This window comes from Homo sapiens, chromosome 2 (genome assembly GCF_000001405.40).
Source record: "Homo sapiens chromosome 2, GRCh38.p14 Primary Assembly".
In the NCBI taxonomy this organism is placed as follows: domain Eukaryota; kingdom Metazoa; phylum Chordata; class Mammalia; order Primates; family Hominidae; genus Homo; species Homo sapiens.
The window spans coordinates 179,473,911-179,496,018 of NC_000002.12; the positions used below are offsets into that span (position 1 = coordinate 179,473,911).

A 22,108-nucleotide genomic window follows, 5' to 3' on the forward strand; every position below is an offset into this window, starting at 1 on the left:
TTTACAGATGAAGAAACAGAAGCTCCATGAGCATGACTTAGTCAAGGTTATATGAGTTCAGTGAGAGGCAGAGCTAATCTGTCCGACTTCAAGCTCATGCTCATTCTACTATGCTATGGATGTAAAGTAGGTAAATGGCACTCGGGAATCATACCTTCATTAATATAGCTTTATATAAGGCCTCTCACAATTTGATTTAAAAAAAAAAACAGTTGTAAAATAGGGTAGGGAAAGAAACACACATTTCTGGGATGTCAGACTTCCAGAAGTGTCATCTAGTAAATAAATCTCAAACAGCCTTCAAAAAGCATAAGCAGTAAGTGTAAGTTCACAAACCTTCATCCAGATGTAGTGAGTATATGTATAATGGTAGTAAGTTTGATGGACAGCCCGAGTGAGACTCTGGCATTGAAAATATTTGGTTGGTGCAAAAGTAATTGAGGTTTTTGCCATTACTTTTAATGGCAAAAATTACTATCTTTACATAGTAGTAACATAATTAGTATGTTACTTAACATTACTTTTAATGGCAAAAACCATGATTACTTTTGCATTAACCTAATACTTTCTATCTGAATAACTCTGGGCCATTGTTTTCCCCTCTCTGGGTGTCACTTTCTAATATCCATCAGAATACTATTATAATCATTAAATAAGATAGTACATATAAAATATTTAGCATGCTATAAAGCACACAATGCTCATTCAGTTACATGTTATTATTAGTATTGCTATTAAAATTATTTTTTGCATATAAGTCTAACAAACTTGGATCTACTTTTCTAGAATATAGGATATTAGGTGCTGCATAATGAAAGATGATGATAGCTGACCACTACAAGGTGTCGCTGTCATCTTTTGCAAAAAACAGAAAGAAGGGTAGCTAAAATAAGCATCACAGGAAAAGGAAGGAAAAAAAATCTGCGAGAACATCAATAACAGGCATTTCTGTTAAAATCTATGTTTTGTAAACCTCTTTTACAATCATTTCATTTGATCCATACAACATATCCATACTCCCTACTGCTGTGAAGTAGAGAGGGCATTATTTCCACTTTACAGATTAGAAAAGAGGGGCTCAGAGAATTGAGTAACTTCTCTGGAATCACAGCTAGTTAAAAGAGCAAGGAGTATCAAAGAGTAGAGTTATGTTGTACAATATGGTAGCCACTAGCCTTATGCGGCTACTTAGAATTAATTGAAATGAAATACAATGAAATATTGACTTTCTCAGTAACATGAGGCACATTTCAAGTGCTAAAAAGTCACATGCTGTTACATGCTGTTAGTCATAGCCATGCTGGACAACACAGATTATAGACCATTTCCATTATCGCACAATTTTTTTTTTTTTTTTTTTGACAGAATCTCGCTCTGTTACCCAGGCTGGAGTGCAGTGGTGCGAACTCGGCTCACTGCAACCTCCACCTCCTAGGGTTTGAGCGATTCTCCTGCCTCAGCCTCCTGAGTAGCTGGGACTACAGGCGCCCGCCACCATGCCCAGCTAATTTTTGTATTTTTAGTAAAGACAGGGTTTCACCACATTGGCCAGGCTGGTCTTGAACTCCTGACCTTGTGATCCATCCGCCTCAGCCTTCCAAAGTGCTGGGATTACAGGCGTGAGCCACCATGCCTGGCCCACACAATGTTTTATTAGACAGTGCTGGTCTATAGAAATGAGAGCACCAATCCATTACTGCATAATATTATGCCCTGTGTTCACAACAGGGAACCTGAGCCTCAAGGAAAGAGTCAGGGAAGAGGAACAGACTTTACACATGTTTCATTGAAAAACACTTTAAGCATTATACTATAAGGCTTAAAGTGTTTTTCACTGAAACATGTCGAAAGTCTAAAGCACTTTGGGAGGCTGAGGTGGGCAGATCACTTGAGGTCAGGAGTTCGAGACCAGCCTGGCTAACATGGGTAAACCCTGTCTCTACTAAAAATACAAAAACTAGCTGGACATGGTGGGGCACACTTGTAATCCCAGCTACTTGGGAGGCAGAGGCAGGAGAATCACTTGAATTTGGGAGGCAGAGTTTGCAGTGAGCCAAGATCATGCCACTGCACTCCAGCCTGGGCAACAGAGTGAGCCTCTGTCTCAAAAAAAAAAAAAAAAAAAAAAAAAGCGGACCCAGAATCCCCCAAAATGCCTGCCACATGTGCCTCGCACACAGAATATACACGTATTTATTGAGGAGCTCTATTTGATCATCCACCTGTGTCAGAAAAATATGTCATGTAAGAGAATTCTTCCTGAAGCAAGTAAGTAGAGTGTCATAAAAATGTAAGTAATAACCTTTGTTGAAATCTCAAGGGCATTTATGGTTATACATTTACAGAATTATTCAATGTACATACAAAATCCTTTTATATTCCAATATCTTTTTAAGGAAGGAAAGTTGTATATAAATGTAATAAAAAGAGATAAATACTAGTTAAAATAAATTCGAATGAGGGTGAAAAAAGTTTTTAATAGTGATATAAGCTTTAACAACAAGTAATTTAAGGCTTTGCTTTTTGGAGTGGTTTTTAATGTATCCTCAGTAAATCCTAAGTTAACAGACACTCAGTAAATCACAAATCAGCCTCAACTTTTGGTTCACTTTTCTTAGACCAACACTAAAAAATAGCTTTCAAAAGTGAAGAAACTGACAGTAAATGTTCAGCATTATTTGAAAGCAATATAAAATGCTGTAAAGTTTCAGAAGTTAGTTCCCAGAGGATGACAAACATTTAACTACTAAGAATCTTCAGCCTTACCTGGAGGGATGCTACTGTCAAATTCAAGGTGCATGGGTAAAGATGGAGGCAGTTCTATTTTTTTAAGTTGACCTTGAAAGTCATAATGATATATGTGTATTTCATGAAAATATGAGCTTTAGAATAATGGTCTGTTCTCTTTAGACAGATGGGACTCATTTATGTTCTACATGACTATACCCCAGAACTTCAGACTTAAGATGTTATAAATATTGTTAATCTATTATTTTATGAAGGATATGAAATTTTGGCCTCTCGGATTTAGATAGATGTATGCCAAATTTATGAGGGTGCTTTTCTATAAATGACAGATGCTGCCAAAGCAGAAAACTATTTTTCTTCCATTCAACATCACAAGGTCCTGTTACTAGAGGCAGATAAGGGTGAGGAGGCAGCTAAGAAGACCTTGCTGGCTAACTGATGGAGTCCTGTGGCAGTCAACAGAAATGAGAAATTGTCAATTGGAAAACTTGGCCCCATTTGTAACAACACATAAAAACTATGAAGTACACAGGGGAACCCATAAAAATGATGAGGCGAGGGTCTCCATTTGTATCTATGGTGGAAAAACCTTAGACAAAATTGAAAATGCACTTTCATATGGCAACAGGGTGACCACAAAAAGCTAAACTGCTGCTTTTGAGGCAAATCATACTGATATACTCATTGATAACGACTCTGGGTTTACACCTGAAGAACTGCCACCATGCAAAAGCACAATATACTGAAAACTAAAATGAGCTGCTTCAAGGTGTCTTATCTTCTTTCTCTTCTTCTCATGTCTTTTCTAACACTGTTACCTCACGGTCTCCATAGGGCATGGGTGTGGGATAAATAAAACTATCTCCCTGCCCTCAGTGGAAATATTTTAGGTAAAATGATTCAAAATGCATTGAAAATGGGGAGCGTGTTCAAGAGAGCTCAAGAGTACCCCTTTGGAGGCAGGGCATGCCTTCTAACATGCTGCAATGCCCTGTCTCAGTGTTAGCCTCTATTTCAGTGAGTACATTTGGCTCTAGACATGTAAAGTCTGTAACTGTCAAGCAGGAACTTTGAGAATATTTATCATTTGCCATTTACCTAAAATGAGTGCTGTTATTCAAATTTGTTCTTGAAGAAATTTGTAACTTCTAAAACTTTTCTTCTACTACACTGAAACACTACAGATAATGTCCCGCATAGAAATTAAGGATTATCAATGAAACAAAGCCTTGATGGTCCCTTCACTGCCACAGCTTATACCAAAACGGTCAGCAAGAAATTTAAAAGTCATATATGGTCCTACTCATCAATTATTTAGAAAATGGTTAGTGGTTTCTTCCTTTGCCCATTGGAATACGTGCATTTACTCCTCCAAGTCACAGAAGTTTAGAAGTAATTGGAATAATGAAACAAGCGTGAAACAAGAAACCCCAAGTTTCCATCCTGACTCTACTGGGATTTGAGTTGTGCAACCTGACATAAACCACCTAACCTTCCCATAACCCAGGTTCTTCATTGTTACTATAGTTTTGGGAGCAGCTTGAAGGTGATGACTACATATTATTTCTCTTTAAATCCGATATATCCAACAATGACAATAAAAAACATCACTAGGTTGAAAGTTTTTGAGGGCGACAAATGTCCTTCTGTTCACTGTTGCACCCATATGTACTATGCTATTTAGTATAGATAATCAATATTTGTTGAGTGAATAAATGGATATCAAGTTCGTTGCATGAATGAACAAACAATGGATACTAATTTCAGCCCTATCCATCAAAGGGTTAAGAAAGTCAAGTGAAAACATATATGTAACTGCGTCTTGTAAGCTGAACAAATTTAAGGTGTTTCTATTGTTATATTTCAACAGAAGATGCTGGCTCAATTATCTTTGCTCTTAATTGCATTTATAAATACATCTGTGGCATTTCGAATCATTCTATATGCATTCATCTGTTTAGACAGCAACTGATTAAAGGCTGTTTAGCTCTAAGTAGCTTTACATACTTTAAACTAGAAATGTCATTTCCTCATATTGATATCTAATTAATTTTTTTAAAAAATCCAATGCGAAAGCCCAGACATATGGACTATTAGGTTGACTCTCATAACATTTTATTATTTTTAAGAAACAGGATTTTTCTGGAGGCTCTGTATTTTTTTAACCTGGTGTGAGTTGTTAAATGCTGTCACAAGAGAGCCTTCAATTTGATGTATTGGGCATATTATCACAGGGAAGTGTATTGTCATATGGCATTATGACACTTGAACTCCAGGGGGAAATTTGGGTAGAGTGTCTGGCCAATATGTTCTAGCCATCTTCCTGAAGCTGCCTAATGCTTGCTGTGTTTTGACCCCAATTCTCCCAAAGCATATTTTTCCTCCCTCCCATTATGTTTCCAACTTCCTCTGATGCATCATTAAAAGTTGGGACAGATCCTGGGAGACTATAAAGCCATTTATTTGGATTTTACATGTAACTCTACCTCAACTTCCAAAAAGTGAATGGACAGCTATTTTGCATAACTGAAGAATAGCTTTAATGAAATATATCTAATTTTTTGAATCATGTAGTTAGAACTTCTTATGATAAATGCAATTCATGCTATTATAGTTTAAACCCATTTTGTTTACTGACCTGAAAGAAAAAAAAGAAAGCTTGCCATGATATCCCGAAATTTTTATACACAATAGCTCCATTATAACAAATCTCTTTGCATTGTACAGATCTGGATACAACATGAACCAAATTATGTCTCCAAAAGTAACATAAAAGAGAAAAATGGTTGTGCCAAGTGCCAAAATAGCAGGTAAGAGGGCTTCCTTAGCTCTTGGAAGCCTTTTAGATTACTTCTTAGAATAAATAATGTGTGCTCTCGAGGAGCAGAAAGAGTTCACCAGCTGGGCACAGTAGCACATACCTGTAATCCCAGCATTTTAGGAGGCCGTGGCAGGCGGATCACTTGAGGTCAGGAGTTGAAGACCAGCCTGGCCAAGATGGTGAAACCCCAACTCTACTAAAAATACAAAAATTAGCCTGGCTTAGTGGTGGGCACCTGTAATCCCAGCTCCTCGGAGGCTGAGGCATGAGAATTGCTTGAATGTGGGAGGTAGAGTTTGCAGTGAGCCAAGATGACACCACTACACTCCAGCCTGGGCAACAGAGCGAGACTCTGTCTCAAAAAAATAAATAAATAAATAAAAAAGTTCATCTGTGGGTCACAAGTTTCTTGTTGAATACCCTGAAATCACACCTTGCCTTAAAGGATGTTCCCAGAATGCTGCTCTCCCAGAAGCTCCCTCTGTTAACTCCTGGCTATTCCCTCTCTTTCAAAATGTAAACAAAACTCTGCTGCTCAGCTACTGATGCTAAAACGCGAGAATGGAAATGGAATTAGTCAAGCCTATGGATGTTGTGAGTGCCTGCATAGTTGAAATCTGGCAGCTGAAACATCACGTGAGTAACATTTTCACTTTTCATTTAAATATCTGAGAATCACAGATACTACTTAAGCCCACTTGACAGGAACTCTTCATTCAGAAGAAAAAGACCAATGCTGGGGAATTTCAGTCCCATGAGATTTGCAAGTGAGCCATGAATTTTCACTGTGACTTTTACTCTAATTTTTGTCTGACTCCTTAAAGCAACATTGTCTGAAATAAAACATTTCAGTCAATTATCACAGTCACCATTCCTCTTCCCACCTTCTTTCTCCTTACATTTTACCTAGACCTTTTGTGAAGCACTGATTTTTGTGTCTTGTGTTTTTCTAAAACAGGATTTTAAATGAAATGAAAGCCAGATATCAACAAAAATCTATGACTCTGACAAAGCTGTGGGAGCTTTTCAAGAATTTAGAAACAGGCAATTAACAATACATTAGGTATTACGTTGTTTGGACCAGATTTCCCATCTGGGCAAAGCTTTTAATTTTCCAACTTGAAAATTCCATAAAACTCATGTGGGAATTCTTGCTTAGAAGCTGACATATGGTTGATGGTGACAAAAGAACATGTATCTATTTAGCAAATGCACTCCTTTTTTTTTTTTAAGTGCCATCTTTCAATGACTTTGGTGTAGCTTTTATAAGTATAATAGAACAAATACAATATTTTGTTAGTATTAATACTTATACCAAACACAGAGAAACAAAAAGTAATGGCCCAGCAAATGAGTTACCAAATAATTTATACAGATTTTGAGTAAGGAAACATGAAAAATGAGATAACCTCCAAATATAGGTGGTTTCTATTACTTCTAGTCCAAATCTGTAGTCACAAAGTGAGTGACATCAATACTGTTAGACTACAGGTACTAGGAGGTGGGTAAAAGAGTGGCAGAGGAAGCAGAGAATGCAGGAAGAAAGACCACCACATAGGTACTGAAGAAGAGATGCTGTGGTTGAGATTTGTTTTCCTCTCTCCTGGGTTTTAGATCTTAATTCTCGTTCCTTGTTCACACCACTGGTATGCTTTATCCTGGTGTTTTCCAAATGCTCTGTAGGCAAACACAACTGCTTAGAAAGTGTCTTTGTTTTACTGAGCACCCGCTAACATTTGAGTATTGGAATGAAAGCCTTGAATCCTTAAACTTTATTTCAAAATATACTCATTGAAATTGGTCATCTCATAGGTATAAGGCATGCTGTAACTATAATCCGGGCCCCTTTATTTCGATTTTCTATTTCCGTATTGCTCTTTGCTTGGTTTTATCTCCTCATCTTTGACTTTTTTTTTTCTATTTTTTTCTCTTCTTCCACACCTTTCCTTCTCCCTTTAATTATCTGCTTTTTTAAAAAATGGATTCTTCTCTGATTGTTCCATCTCTATTTCTGATTTTGACACTATTTTCTGCTTATTACTTTTACTATTATCCCTACAGCCAACCCAATTTTCAAATAATAATATAACTTAAGTGGAACACTGAGTTCACTCAGTAGCAACGTTGTAACATGTATGGTACCTACCAACTGTTCTATTAGCTGAAAGAATAGAGTGGCACTAACCTCCATTGTTTTATCATTTTACTTATATGTTTTGCTGGAAGGTAAAGAGCATAATTTAGATAACAAAACCTTTTGCAGAGTATTATTCCATAAAGGCAGTGATATCCTGCATTAAACGAAACCAGGCAAGAAGTCAGCAGGCTCCTGCTCTTCCAAACATTGGGTAGCCTCCAGCAAATAACTGCCACATTGTGTACCTCACCAGTTTGCAATTTTGAAAAATAGAGATAATATTTGATATTATACCTGATAGATATTGATTAAAGACTAATTAGATAATATATGTCAGAAGGTTTTGTTCTTTACAGAGGGAGACATACTATGTAATAATCTGGCATTTATGACTATATCTGTTCATCAGATAACATGATTTAGTGATCCTATTGTACAAAGAACAAAAAGTCTTTATTACCAAATTTAGCTTAGCTCAATCCTTCTACGCTGAAGAGCTTTTGGAGCCAGCATCTACAGGGCCTAATCAATAATGGTCCCTTTTTCCATAGTCTCTTTGTTTGAACAGATTTTCTGAACCTTCCTCTTACAGTAATGGATTTGATCATCTCCAAAAGCCACGGGAAAGCAGTCTTAAGTCTCCTTCAAAAATTCTCCAATGATTTGAGAAGTAGAAAAGAATCAGAAATGTGTGTGTTTCCCACAAGAGGGAGGCCCCTAAAGAGAACATCAAACATAAGAAAAAGGGACATATTCTCTCAGTCTCCTTTAACAGACACTGTTCCTCAAAGAGTCACTGAAACAAGATGACATATCCGTCATGGGCCCAGAGGGGCAGATGTGAGAATTGTGGAAGCCTATTAAACATCCAATTTCATGGTATCCATGCTACAAAAATGAATTTTTTTTCTCTTTCCACTGAATGAACCTACTCAGAAATTCTGCCGATTCACTGGGACTATGAAATATAGACTCTTCTTCAGAGGCATTTCACCTAGTAATCCATTTCCATTTATATATAAAGGTCTTCTGTTAATCAGTTTGTAACGTTGGAAATCATTCCCTTAAAATATGTAAGTCCATTTGTAACTCTGAGGGGAACTCTGAAGATCTTCAAAAAGCATCATCTTTTATTACTAAGCACATTTCCAGATTCATTTAGTAATGCTACTCTCTCAGAAAGTTCCCCCCTTTGGCTCCTCAACTCCTTTTTACTACAGTAAGAGAACATAAAAATATCTATTAGTAAACAAGTTTAAGGAGTCCTTCAATAAAAAAGTCTATAGTAAAAAACACACATAAAATAAATAGAAAGAAGTAATAAGCTCAGTATTTTAGATCCATTTCCTGATTTTAGTCTGAACACATTGTGATCAAGTAGTCTCTACTTGTTTTCATGCATATATACTTATATATATATATATTTACATATACACATATATACTTAAACGTATATATTTAATAACATGGAATGGAAACATATCAAATGCTTAGATTCTGTGCAAACATATAATCCTTCCCGTGAAGAAAACATATTAATATCACAAAAACAAATCATGGAGAGTAACATGCAACAACTGAGGGCAGGAAAACGGGGTCAGGGCAGGGGAACAGGAGAAACACAAAGAATGTAAAGAACAAAAAGTGTCATTGACCTGATTTGTCAGAGTTGTTGCCTGTGATTGGAGTGATGGAGCAGCTGGGATTAGCCTTTGCGCTGTCCTTGGAAGGAACCATTTTGGGTTTATTTTTCGTTGCGTCTAGTGCTTTGACCTTCTTGGCATGTTTACTTCCTTTGTAGTGGGCCTCGGCCTGGCTCTACAAAGGAGAACAAATCAGGCTCATTTTTTTGCTAATTACAAACACCACAGTGGATGATCATGCAGGAGAAAAATACATTCTATCATAGGCACCACAGACATTTACAACTCAGTACCTGACTATGTTTTTGGCACTTCATGAAATGGTAGACCAGTTCCTAAGAGGGTGTAGCATATCAAAACCTCCTATACAATACAAAGGACCTGCATCTTTAAAAAACCAGACATTATATGAGTGGACAAAAGGATTAGGGCAAAACTGTGACACAGGTGAGCTTTGTCATCAGTGCCCTCCCACCAGTGCCCATTGGGGCTACTTTTCAAACATTGGCTGGCAGCAGGGGCTTTGAGTGTCCTACCCATGCCTGTGGGTATGACCTTCCACAGTCATTTCCCTTCAACTAAAATCCTGTTTGCCACGTGTCTACTTTCTTCTGGGCTCTGCTCTGAGACCAACTGGTGTGATAAAACATGTTAATAGGTGCTACTGAGTGAAAATGACACTGAATTTTTTGGTAAGCTCTACATGCACTTCATGTACCATTTTGATGATTCCAGTTACAAGAACAGATAATGTAAGCCACAAAGGAGGTAGGAAAAAACCCTTGTTTCTGATCTCAGATGTGATTCTGAAGCCTAAGTTGTTAGTGTTAAATTCATTTATACACAAAGCATATGTAGAACTCTAACTTCAGTACTAGATCAAAAGGAAAAAGAAAGAGCAAGACAAAACACAAAAACAAATTACAACAAGCCTTGAAAACATTTAATCAACTTACTGACATTTGGAAAATTTTCCTCTGCCTAAACAACAAGGCTTTTCTCTTATTGGCATCTAGTATTAATATATACATTAACAAAATAATCTAAATATATTCACTTGAATTGAATTTTGAAAAGACTCTGAAAAAACATAAACATGTATTTAGTGAAAAGAAACAAAACTAAACATAAATGGTATATTAGCTTAGTTATAAAGTGAAATGGATGACAAATCTTATGCAAAGCAAGATGAACTTTTGTTAGAGGATTTCTAAAGAAATAATAACTTTAAAAACCATCAGTTTTCTTTATATACTTGTATGTGTTTGAAGAGGATTAAATGAACCTTTCCACTCATTCTCCTCAACAAGCAGAATACAGGTGATAAGTGTGTGTGTAGGTTGGTAGTTGGAAGCGATAGTTGGACAGACAGAATGGGTCTCTGTCTTTAGGGTCCAATGAGGTTTCACACATACATGAGGTAAGAAGTTCAATGGAGAGCTATCCATATACAAGGGTAAGCTAAAACAGCGAAAGATGCATGCTATGGGAGATACAGGACAACAAAAAAATGGACCAGAGGGGAGTGGTATTAATGAAGACTTCCTAAATGGGTAACTTTTGATTTGAGATTTGAGGAAAGGGATGCATATACACTAGTAGCAAAGAGTACGTTTCTAGTTGGAGGATGCAGGCCTAAGGAAAGTACTGACGCTAGAGTGCCGGAACAGTGAGGGCTATAGCTGGAGAAGTGCTTACATAGGCCTCTTGGTGGAACATCATCAACATGAGGTTAAGGAAACTAGATGTGTAGTTATGTAGAGAAGGTCACCACTGAGGTGAGATTCTCAAGCAGAGGCCTGATGATACACACAAATTCCAAATGGGGAAGACTTCTGCAACAGCTATTTATTACATGTTTGTTGGATTGAATATGAGAGAAAAGAGATGACACAGAAAGGAAGGCAGCAGAAAGAATATATGATTCTTCTGGTAAGATCATTAGTGGAGAGTATGACTATAATAAAGTCCCTTTTATAATAATATCATTGATTGCTTGAAGCCTTGGTTATTATCAATCCTCCTTCTGCCCTTTGCTTAAGTGGAACCATTTCACTACTAACTACTAGAGACAAAGCACTCTTTTAACATGCCATGATTAGATTAAGCCATCTAAGGTTGATTATTGTGTGTTGTTGAAGTGTTTCTTCTGACTTTCCTGCTTGTTTCACTCCAGCTTACCAGGACATGTTGCTTTGCTATCTTCAGACATCCAGCCATAGCTAGTTCAGCAGAACTGGTGATGGTGAGCACCACTTCAATGCCAGCATTACTTCCAGATCTTGGTGGGTGATAGGCCTACTTTATCCTAAGCTTATAAATGATGATGATGAATTTATTCATGCCAAATATTATAGATGATATAGTCACAAGTGTTAAGGGTCATGCAGTGAGTTAAACATCATATCTATATATTTGCTCTCCCATTTAAATGGAAGCTTGGTGATAGATTCATGCCACAGTCTGTTTTTCAGTGTACCTTGATTCTGCTGTGTTATTTCTTGTAGGGCGGGAGGTGGCTGGGGAAAAAAATATTGCTTTGGTAGTAGTGTAATCTAAGGATAGGTTTTGGACATATTAGTGATTTCCCTAGCATATAACCCAGGTCACCCAAGGTCTATAGCCTTTTACTGACTATACATGGTCCCTAACTTCCTGAATATCTTTTCATACATATCTTTTTAGATCTTCATTGACTTGGCATTGCTCTTACTTGGTTTGCTCAAGGACTTCTCATGTTGTTCTCTGTCAAGTTGGAAAAAAAAATAATCACGTGGGGAGAAAAGTGTAACATTATTTTAGGGCCTTTATTTATTACCAACCAAGAATGTTTGAATCCAACTAATATAGTTTGGTAGTTATACATTAAGAAAATATGCAAATAAAAATTAAAAATTGATAATGTAGTATAATAATATAATAATGATTAATATTACTGAGCTTACTCTTTCAGGCACAATTCTAAATGCATTACATATTTTAGATCATTTAATCCTTATAATATCCTATGAAATAGGCATTATTGGCCAGCACTTTACAAACGGGAAACTGGGAATAGAGAAGTTAAATAACTTATAAAAAGCCACACAGGTGGGTGGAGAAGCCATGGTAGATATAAAATGCTTACAAGCATATCCCTATTTAATTATATACCCACATTATACATATACATACCTACACTAAGTTAATGTTATAATTTTATTAGAAGTAAAAAATATACACAAAGATAGCATGCTGCTTTTAATGACTCAGAGAAGGATTATAACTTAATCCTATAGAAATTTCTATGAGTAGGAAATACGTACTTAATTCATGGGAAATATGCTAATATTAAACACCAGGTCTGATCCTTCTGTTGAGTAAAGAAAGTTCCACTTTTAGGCCAGGTGCAGTGCCTGTAAGCCCGGCACTTTGGGAGGCCCAGGAAGGAGTATCGCCTGAGCTTGGGAGTTTGGGATCAGCCTAGGCAACATTACGAGACCTTGTTTCTACCAAAATTCAAAAAAATTAGCTGAACATGATGGCACATGCCTGTAGTCCCAACTTCTTGTGGGGAGGAGGTGGGTGGATCACTTGAGCCTGGGAAGTCGAGGCTGTAGTGAGCCCTGATTGTGCCACTGCACTCTGGCCCGGGCAACAGAATGAGACTCCGTCTCAAAAAAAACAAAAAACAAAAAACAAAAAAAAGTTCAACTTTTTAAATATACAACAATTTCTACAACGTATCATAAGACCTGCTAAAAACTCATCTTTCACAGTACACTAAATAGTGCAGCGTTACTTTAGTGCCCTTTGGCTAAAGAAACATATGGTTCTCTAAATAAAACCTCCAAGTACAAGATAAACAGTGTCATTTCCTCATTACTATTTCTTGGCATCAGTGCCGAAAGTTAACAGCGTCAATTAACACTTGGGATGAGGATCCAGCTAAGTGACACTTCACTGGCCAAGATGGAAAAAACTCTCCATAGCCATGATCCACTTCTGCTTCGAGTTCAGGGTCAGGGAGAGAAGTGCAACAAGGCTTTTTAGCTTTTATTGACTGTTGTTTGGGAAAAATGGAGTGGAAGACTGTGAAATAAAGACAGAATGGCAAGTGCCACTTCCTTATATTTGGCATCTTTCCCATTCTCCTGTGGTATTCTTAGTAGTGGCACTTTGCTATCCCTAGTACTGTGTCTGAGGCAGTGTCAACAGTTTCTAAATGCTGGGCAAATCTTCAAGTGAAACTGAGACACTGTTAAGTAGCAAAAGATTAACCTGACTTCATTATCTAGGAATCTTCTTAATTGAGGAGTGAAAGAAACAAGGACAGGAGCCAGAAAACCCATGAACTAGGCAACACACGTCAAGCCCATCAACAATGGCTCTTGTGACACTTCTAAGAGACTAGGTTGGCCAAGCTGACTTACTTTATACCCAATGAGTAATTAGCAGACACATGCTTGTCTAGCAGTAATGGCTTGCATTCTGCTTCCCCTCCTAAAGTGCTGCTGTGCCCCTAACTGGCAGTGACCAAAGAAACCTCTTCACAAGAATTGCCAGAATTAGAAAGAGTCGCCCAAACCACTACACTGACCTTCACATAAGAATTCATCAGCATATAGGTTCTTCTCTGAAGGCCACTCTGGTAATTACCTGACACCCACTGAAAGAAGAACAGCTTTGATAGGAAATGACAACTTGGAATGTTTTCTTCCATTAATAACCTTTGTTGCTAAAGCTCTTCACTTTCTCAAATCCTCTGAATTTCTTAGAACCCCATTGTTGCAAACAAAAAAGATAAAGAATGAGATAACTTAGTGCTTCAAAAACAAAAATGTAACCCAAAAACTTCTAAACTTCACTGTGCTCTCATTTCTGATTTTTACCTTACTTATTTCTTTTCTTTTCTTTTTTTTTTGAGACGGAGCCTCACTCTGTTGCCAGGCTGGAGTGCAGTGGTGCAATCTCAGCCTTACTGCAACCTCCACCTCCCGGGTTCAAGTGATTCCCCTGCTTCAGCCTCCTGAGTAGCTGGGACTACAGGCATGTGCCACCACGCCCGGCTAATTTTTTTGTATTTTAGTAGAGAAGGGGTTTCACCCTGTTGGCCAGGCTGGTCTCTATCTCCTGACCTCGTGATCCGCCCGCCTCGGTCTCCCAAAGTGCTGGGATTACAGGCGAGAGCCACTGCGCACGGCCTGATTTTTACCTTATTTCTAATTTGGACTTCAGAGACATGGCTAGAATCTTGAATGAGGACATTAAACTGTGCTCACTTTGCATGGAAAAAACAGTCGAAGGAAAAACTCACAAAGTGACTGGGGAAAGACAATGGCCCTGGAGAAAGTACTTACCTATATATTTACCAATAGAACCAACCTTTTTTTGCATTTTAAAAAGTAATTAGAACTGTTCCCTTAATTAAAGAAAGTGCATAATTAAAACTACTGGCATCTGTTTTTTTCCTGAGACCTTAGATTTCAATGTGTTAAGCAGTGTTATAAGGGAAATAGCAAAGGTCAGCTAATTTTCAGGAAAACCCAATATACTAAAATGCCAAATAAAACATATGTCAAATGAGCGACCATAAAACAGGCTAAACTAACAAAGGGGAAACCTGATGATTTATTCTGCAAAAAATTATTTAGTACCTGCCATGGGCTAGATATTGTAAACGATTAAAAACAAAGACCCCTACTTGCCAGAATGGTGGTTGGAAGAAAAGACAAGCATACAAATAACTATAATCCAAAGCAGAAGGCAGAATTATAAAATGGGAGGTACCAAGAAACAAAGAATATGAGAATCAGGAGAGAGGTAAATCTCTTCAGATTGAGGAAATCAAGGAAGCTCCATGAAAAGAGGGTATCAGAGCTGGGTTCTGCTGCAAGGGCCGGGCTCCGAAGTGGCAGAATGGAGATGAAGGTATTACGGGCAAAGGGAACAACATGTGCTAGGGCACTGAGTCCTGTGTATTATACAGTGTTTCCTGGGCACATACACTTTTCAGTTTCACTAGAATAGACATATTAAGGGAAAAACAGGGAAAGGTTGCTACGTTGTGCTACCTTGAAAATGGTTCCCTGTACCACAAAAACATACCATAGTGTTTTCAATTAAAAATCAAATATTCTATTTGTAGGCATTTTGTATAGAAAATGATTAGGATGTAAGATGCTGCTCTTACATCACAGATTTTATCCTCTGCTCCAAACCATAATCTTACATTAAATTAATTAAGTTATTTATATTGAAGCTTTAATAATTATTTGAGATAAAAGCAAGGCACTTAAAATGCTATAGTTAAACATACTAAGAAACTAAAGTTTTCTGAGAAATAAATAATTACTTGAGTCACTGTTTCAAGATAAAACTGTTTTTACTATTACAATGCTTTCTGCATATATTTCTGGCATTCATAAGATCACACACTCTCAGAGACAAAGCTACAATATAGGAAGCATGAGCTATACCCAAGAGAAAGGCTTACATATCCAAAGGTTGCTAGTAAGTTTTTCTGCTGATATTTGCAATTGTAAGGCCTGCAATATCAGTAATGACATACTATTGGCTTTGATATTCACTTCATTCAATTCTCATCTATTGGGATTGTTGAAAACAAAGTCCAGACAAAATTATAACTATTATGAGCTTTTTAGCTTAAAAAGGTATAATGTCTTTGCTAATTGCTAATTTATAGCTAGTGAAACGCTACAAGTTGCTATGGCCTGTCTAGGGCCATCACACTGCATAACTCTGCAGGGCACTATTCACATATATTTCAACATTCGTAGTATCTTCTGGATTGTGCCAGGCCAGAGTTGTACCTATGACATTCTATATTTATTGGCTTTATAATATAGATGTAAATAAACCCATCAACTCCAAATATTTCTATGTTACTAAAGTGAAAGTGGTTGCTTTCTAAGAAGAAAATGATGTGTACTCTAGACTGCTAATTCTTTTTGGGCCCAATTTAGATTCTAACAATATTATAAGATAGAATTACAATTCTTGTGTTATGGCTGCTTTGAAATACCACTATTTGAATATATGAGCATTACACACACAAACACACACACACACACACACACATATATATGTTCAATCACATTATCAGAAAACTTCAATGTAGGCAAAATTCACTTCTTAAAATGCTGAGATCTTTAGAGGGCTTGAAATTAATTTTTCAAATGTGTTTATTCATCAGCCAACAGTCTTGATGCTCATGTTTCTTGCCCATGACTCATTGGTGGAATTACTTACACACAGAAACATGGAGAAGTTATAAATGGACCAAATAACTACAACAGAATTTACATGATGAATTAGAAAGGTGCTGCAGTTTGAGTTAAAAATCAGCTGGAATATAGTAAAAAAAAAAAAGTGCTTTTAAAAAATAAAATCATTTCTTACAATGGAGTTTCAAGTGAATAAAATTTTGTCTCATTTTCCCAGTAAGTTTTATATTTCACTTTCAATTACTGGAAGGCAGATTATTAATTTAGATGATTCCCAGCAATCTACATTTCTTCCCCTAGATATTCACTGATGCTATATGTTACTAGTTTGGGGTTGAGTAGCACAGCGCATAAGAGAGACAATTATTTAAGCTTGGCTGTATCAACTGTGATCTGAACACAAATCTTTCCATTTGTTCAATTCTGTGCTCTCTCTCTCCTCTAGTTCTCTCCTGTATTTCAAATCAGGCCATAATGAAAAATCATCTTCTTTTATAAATAAGTTTATTATATATATACCAAGGTAAAGTTAATCTCAGATGATTAGTTCCTTAATTCTATGAATGAATACTGTAAATTATAGACATTTTATTTTTAAAAAGATTTTTCTCTCACAAACCTAATGGAAGTAGTTTTATATGAATTTTTCAACATAGGTAATGAGTAATAAAATGATTTTTATTTAATGTCACAATTTAACATCATCACAATTTATTTAAGAATTCATCAAGAAGTATCTTGCTTAAGAAAGCAAGACTGCTTAACTCTCCATTTAAATTATATTACAATTTTAGAATTTCTAAGAGGTATATTTACTTCACCTTCTGGATTGGGATCAATATCTGAGTCAATTTAATGACAAATGTATATGTAAACTCTTAGTATATGCACTACATCTTAAGGGAGGCCACATGAAGTAAATGAAACCTGGCAAAGCATGCCTTTAGCCACTCTCTCAAATCATAAGAGGAGGCAAATCACAAACTTCATGAATAATGCACTTGATGAACTATATTCTTTGTTATACCAGAGTGAGAAAATGAGTTCTCTGTCTACTAACATAATCTTAAATATGAAATAATGGGAACCATTATAATTTATAAAAATATCTAATTTTCTCAAAGAATTATGTATATAAGGACCTCATCTTTTAGAAGTTCTGACCTTTAGAGATTTAATAAAACACATGGATAATATCTTTTATTTTTCATTCGCTTATTTATTTATTTTAGAGACAGGGTCTCACTCTGTTACCCAGCTTGGAGTACAGAGGGGCCATCATAGCTTGCTGCAACCTCAGACTCCTGGGCTCACGCTGTCCTCCTGCTTTAGCCTCCCAAGTAGCTGGGAGTACAGGTACATGCCACCATTCCTGGCTATTTTTAAAAAATTTTTTGGAGAGGTGAGGTCTTGCTATATTGCTCAGGCTGGCCTTAAACTCCTGGTCTCGAGTGATCCTACTGCCTTGCCCTCCTAAAGCGCTGAGATTCAGGTGTGCAACACCATGCCTGGCCATCTTTTATTTTATAATATGACACAAAATATTATAATTTGTAATTACTATTTTTGAATTATTTTATGATTTTCCCAAAAGGATTTAAAAATAGAAATTGCCCATCTCCCTCAAATTAATTCACATCTTATTTTAAACTGGGAAATCTTAGTTGATAATTCTCAGCTACTTTGACATACAAAGGAGGATATTTCAGAGTTTATAGTGTTTTCACAGTTATATCCCAAGTTGCTAATGTGTTTGAGAGTACTGCTATCTTTCAGTGGGAAAACAGACTGCCATTGTGTGCTTCATAAGAGCAATTTTTGTTACTCAATGATAAGTAATGCAATATAATTCAAGTTTATGCATTAAAGCTGTGACTCTATAGCTAACTGATTCAAGTCTTCTGATGGTCTTTTAAATTAGGCTCCCAGGCTTCCACACATTAATTTTTAATCAGTCCAGAAGGTATTACACTTACTTTGATTTCCACTTTAAGGAAATTTACATAAATAATACAAAATAAATCTGAAATTAGAATTTACATTGTGTCTCCTTTTGTTTGACAAACAATATCCTTAATGTAGATGAAAGTGGCAAAGTAACTTTGAAAGTTCAATGCTCAGAGAATTGGTTGACAAATAGCATTAGTAATATTTTATATATGTTTAATATATTAGTTATTTATCATTACTCATTTGAAAACCTGTTTCACAAAACAGGTTTTTGTAAAATTCATACTCCAAAACCGAAACCAATTACTAAAACCTAGAAGATATCTTATAATTCAAAATTAAGTGGAATATGTAAATGTGAAGACTAATAACAGATACCTTCAAAACACAATATAACTAAGAGAAAATAATGAAAACACATCTTTAGTAGTCGCTTAGCCCATCTGAGTCATGCTAAGGCCGTTTCTGTAGTAAAGTGCCAGATTAAACTAGAAGTTTTCATTCAAAATTAATTGGGTCAATCTTCCACATATAAGAGATTGGTCTGCTGGAGGCAAAACTAAAATAATAGTATCTATAACTTTGATTCACCGATAAAATCTAAAATATTTTAATAGAATCAACAAATGCTAGTGGGTTTCCACTTTCTGATTCTGTGTGATATTGTCTAAAAGTTCTACTCACCAATAATAGTCATAACAAAAGTCATACATATAATATATGATATCATCAATGTGAATTGTTTTAATTCAACTCAATTTAGCACTGTTTTATTATGTATCATGTAATAGGTGTTTCAGAAGACATGCTTTGTGACTTCTAGGAGCTTATAATCTTGTGTAGAGGATAACAAAAGTGAATACCATATATAGGCATATGGCATGTATATGTGTACATATGGCATGTATATGGCATGTATATATATATGTAGGTTTGTGTGCGCGCGCACATATATGTATGCATACATATATGTACACAAATGCATGTGTACATATATGTACGTATATGCATGTGTACATGTGTGTACATATATGCATGTGTACACATATGTATAAACGTGTGTGTACATATATGCGTATACATATGTGTGTACATATATGCGTATACATACGTGTACATGCACATATATGCGTATACATATGTGTATGTGTACATATATGCGTATACATATATGTACGTACATATATGTATACGCATATGTATACACATATGCGTATACATATATGTATATGCATATGCATATACATATACACATATATACATATATGTATACACATATGCATATACGTATATACATATATGTATACATATGTGTATATACATATATGTATACATATATGTATATACACATATGTATACATATATGTATATATACATATATATATAGCAGAGGGAGAAAAACATTCTAAAAGGAGGAATGTAACACTAAGGGTCCATCCATTGTTCAATGCAACAAATATCTATTGAATACATATTGTATTCTAGGCATTATTCTAAGTGCTGTGGAATACAGGTCTACTGAAACTTGTGTTCTAATATGGGGACATAGATAAGAAATTATAAATTTTTATATATATATTAGTGTTAACAGATAAGTGATACACCTATGAACATGTTATATAATGCTATAAAAAAATAAAGACAAGTAAGGGGTAGACTATGGTGTAACGTGCCATTTTAAGTATCAAGGAAACTCTGTTGAGAGAGCATTTTCACAGAGACCTGAATGAAGTAAGGGAGTTAACCAGGTAGATATCTGGGAGAAGAGTACTTCAGGTTCAGGGAACACCAAATATCCATTGTAAGGATTTTGATTTTTATTCTGAGTAGATGCAGAATCACAGGGGTGTTTTAAGTCAGAAGAGCAACCTTGTTTGGCTTCCATTTATTAAAGGATCACTTTGGTTGCTGTATGGAGAACCAACCATGTGTGTACAGTGGAGAGGCTCGGGGTGAGGCAAAGTAGAAGAGGAGGCTCATCCAGGAAAGAGATGAAAAGGGTTCAAAATTAAATCCCACTGACCAATCAGAAAGGCTTCAAAAACATAATTTTCTTAACGGATATTTATAATTTTTCACATATCTGCAATTTTTGGACATAAATCATCCATAATTTTGATGGAATTTTATGTTCAGCTAGCTAGCAATTACTTTTGTTTCTTTTAAATTTAAATTGTATTTTTAAAAATCTATGTAAAACAATTACGTAGTTAAAAGTATAAAAAAAAAAGCAGAGAAAAGTTACCTCTTAGATTCAGCAACCAGTTGTTATCACTTTGTTGTGTATCCTGCCAGGGATTGTTTACATGCCTATCAAGCAAATGTATACATATATGTGTATTTTTTCTTTCTTTTATTTGTAGACAAGTGCCTACACACTACATATGCTGTTCTGCACTTTGCCTTTTCTATTTAGCAATAGGTTTTAAAGATATTTCATATGAGTAATTAAAAAGTTTTCTAATTTTTTAAAGTGGTTGTGTATATTTATTTTATTATTGTGTGGTAGCTACAGGGCAAAATTCCTTCTGCTTGAGAAAAACAGAGGGAAAAGTAAAGGCGACTTTGTCTTGCACCTTAGATATCAGCACGGCCACAGAGGGATAGAGCACCACGTGTACTCCTGGGGTCCCCAGATCCAGGACTGGACTCTTGGATAGCATTTCGGGACCTGCCTTGTGCCAGAAGGGGAGCCCACTGCCTTTAATGGTGAGTCCCAGGCCAGGCAGCCTTCATGACAAGCTGACTTAAGAGATCCTGGGCCTTAAGGGAACATTGACAGAAATCTGGCAGTACCCCTCATGGCCTAAGGTGGTGGTGGCTATGAGGTGAGTCTCCTCTGCTTTTGGAAATAGGAAGGAAGAACTGTATTTTGTGGTTTGTGTGCCAGCTCAGCCTCAATACAATAGAACACCAGGTAGACTTCTAAGGTTTTTGACTCTAGTACTCAACTGACAGATGGCACTTCTGGACCCACCTGGGAACTGGGGGACCTCACCGCCCTAAAGGGAAGAAAACAGGCCTGGTTGGCTTTGCCACCGGCTTATTGTAAAGTCCCCAGGGCCTTGCGTAAACATAGGCAGCAGCCATGGAGTGGCTGCAACAGGCCTTGGGTAAGACCCAGTGCTGTGCTGGCTCTAGGTCTCACCCAGCACAGTCACAGTGGTAGTGGCCACACGGGTGCTTGTCATGCTACCCCCAGCTTTAGGTGGTTTAGAATGGAGAGAGACCCTATATGTTTGGGAGAAATTAAGGGAAAAGGACAAGTCTCTGCTTGGTAATCCAGAGAATCTTCCCAGATCCTGTCCAAGACCATCAAGGTGGTACCTCTATGAGTCTGCAAGCACTGCAGCGTTATAGGGATTGGGGTGCCCCTAAAGCAGTTACAGCTTAGATCACAATACCCAAGTCCTTTCAAATATCTGCAAAGCCTTCCCAAGAAGGACGGCTACAAATAAGCCCAGGCAGTGAAGACTACCTAAATACCTAACTCTTCAATGCCCAAAGAACATCTATTAGTATCAACACTATCCAGGAAAACATGACTTCACCAAATGAACTAAATAAGACATCAGGCACCAAT

At 36.5% G+C, this 22,108-nt stretch overlaps 1 protein-coding gene across 21 annotated transcripts in view; it reads right to left on the minus strand.

Annotated features, from left to right (window-relative positions):
• ZNF385B (zinc finger protein 385B) overlaps positions 1-22,108 on the minus strand; it is a 419,631-nt gene that overhangs the window by 31,929 nt on the left and 365,594 nt on the right. For 17 of the 21 annotated variants that reach the window (NR_148056.2, NR_148058.2, NR_104234.2 and 14 more), the window contains one exon: positions 9,362-9,524. The exons of the other annotated variants lie outside the window; for them this stretch is intronic. Coding sequence is in view for 14 of the 17 variants with exons in the window: in NM_001352816.2 (NP_001339745.1) it covers positions 9,362-9,524 (163 nt within the window). In the remaining 3 variants the exon portion in view is untranslated. The remainder of the gene's footprint in view (positions 1-9,361; positions 9,525-22,108) is intronic. 21 annotated transcript variants of the gene reach the window in all.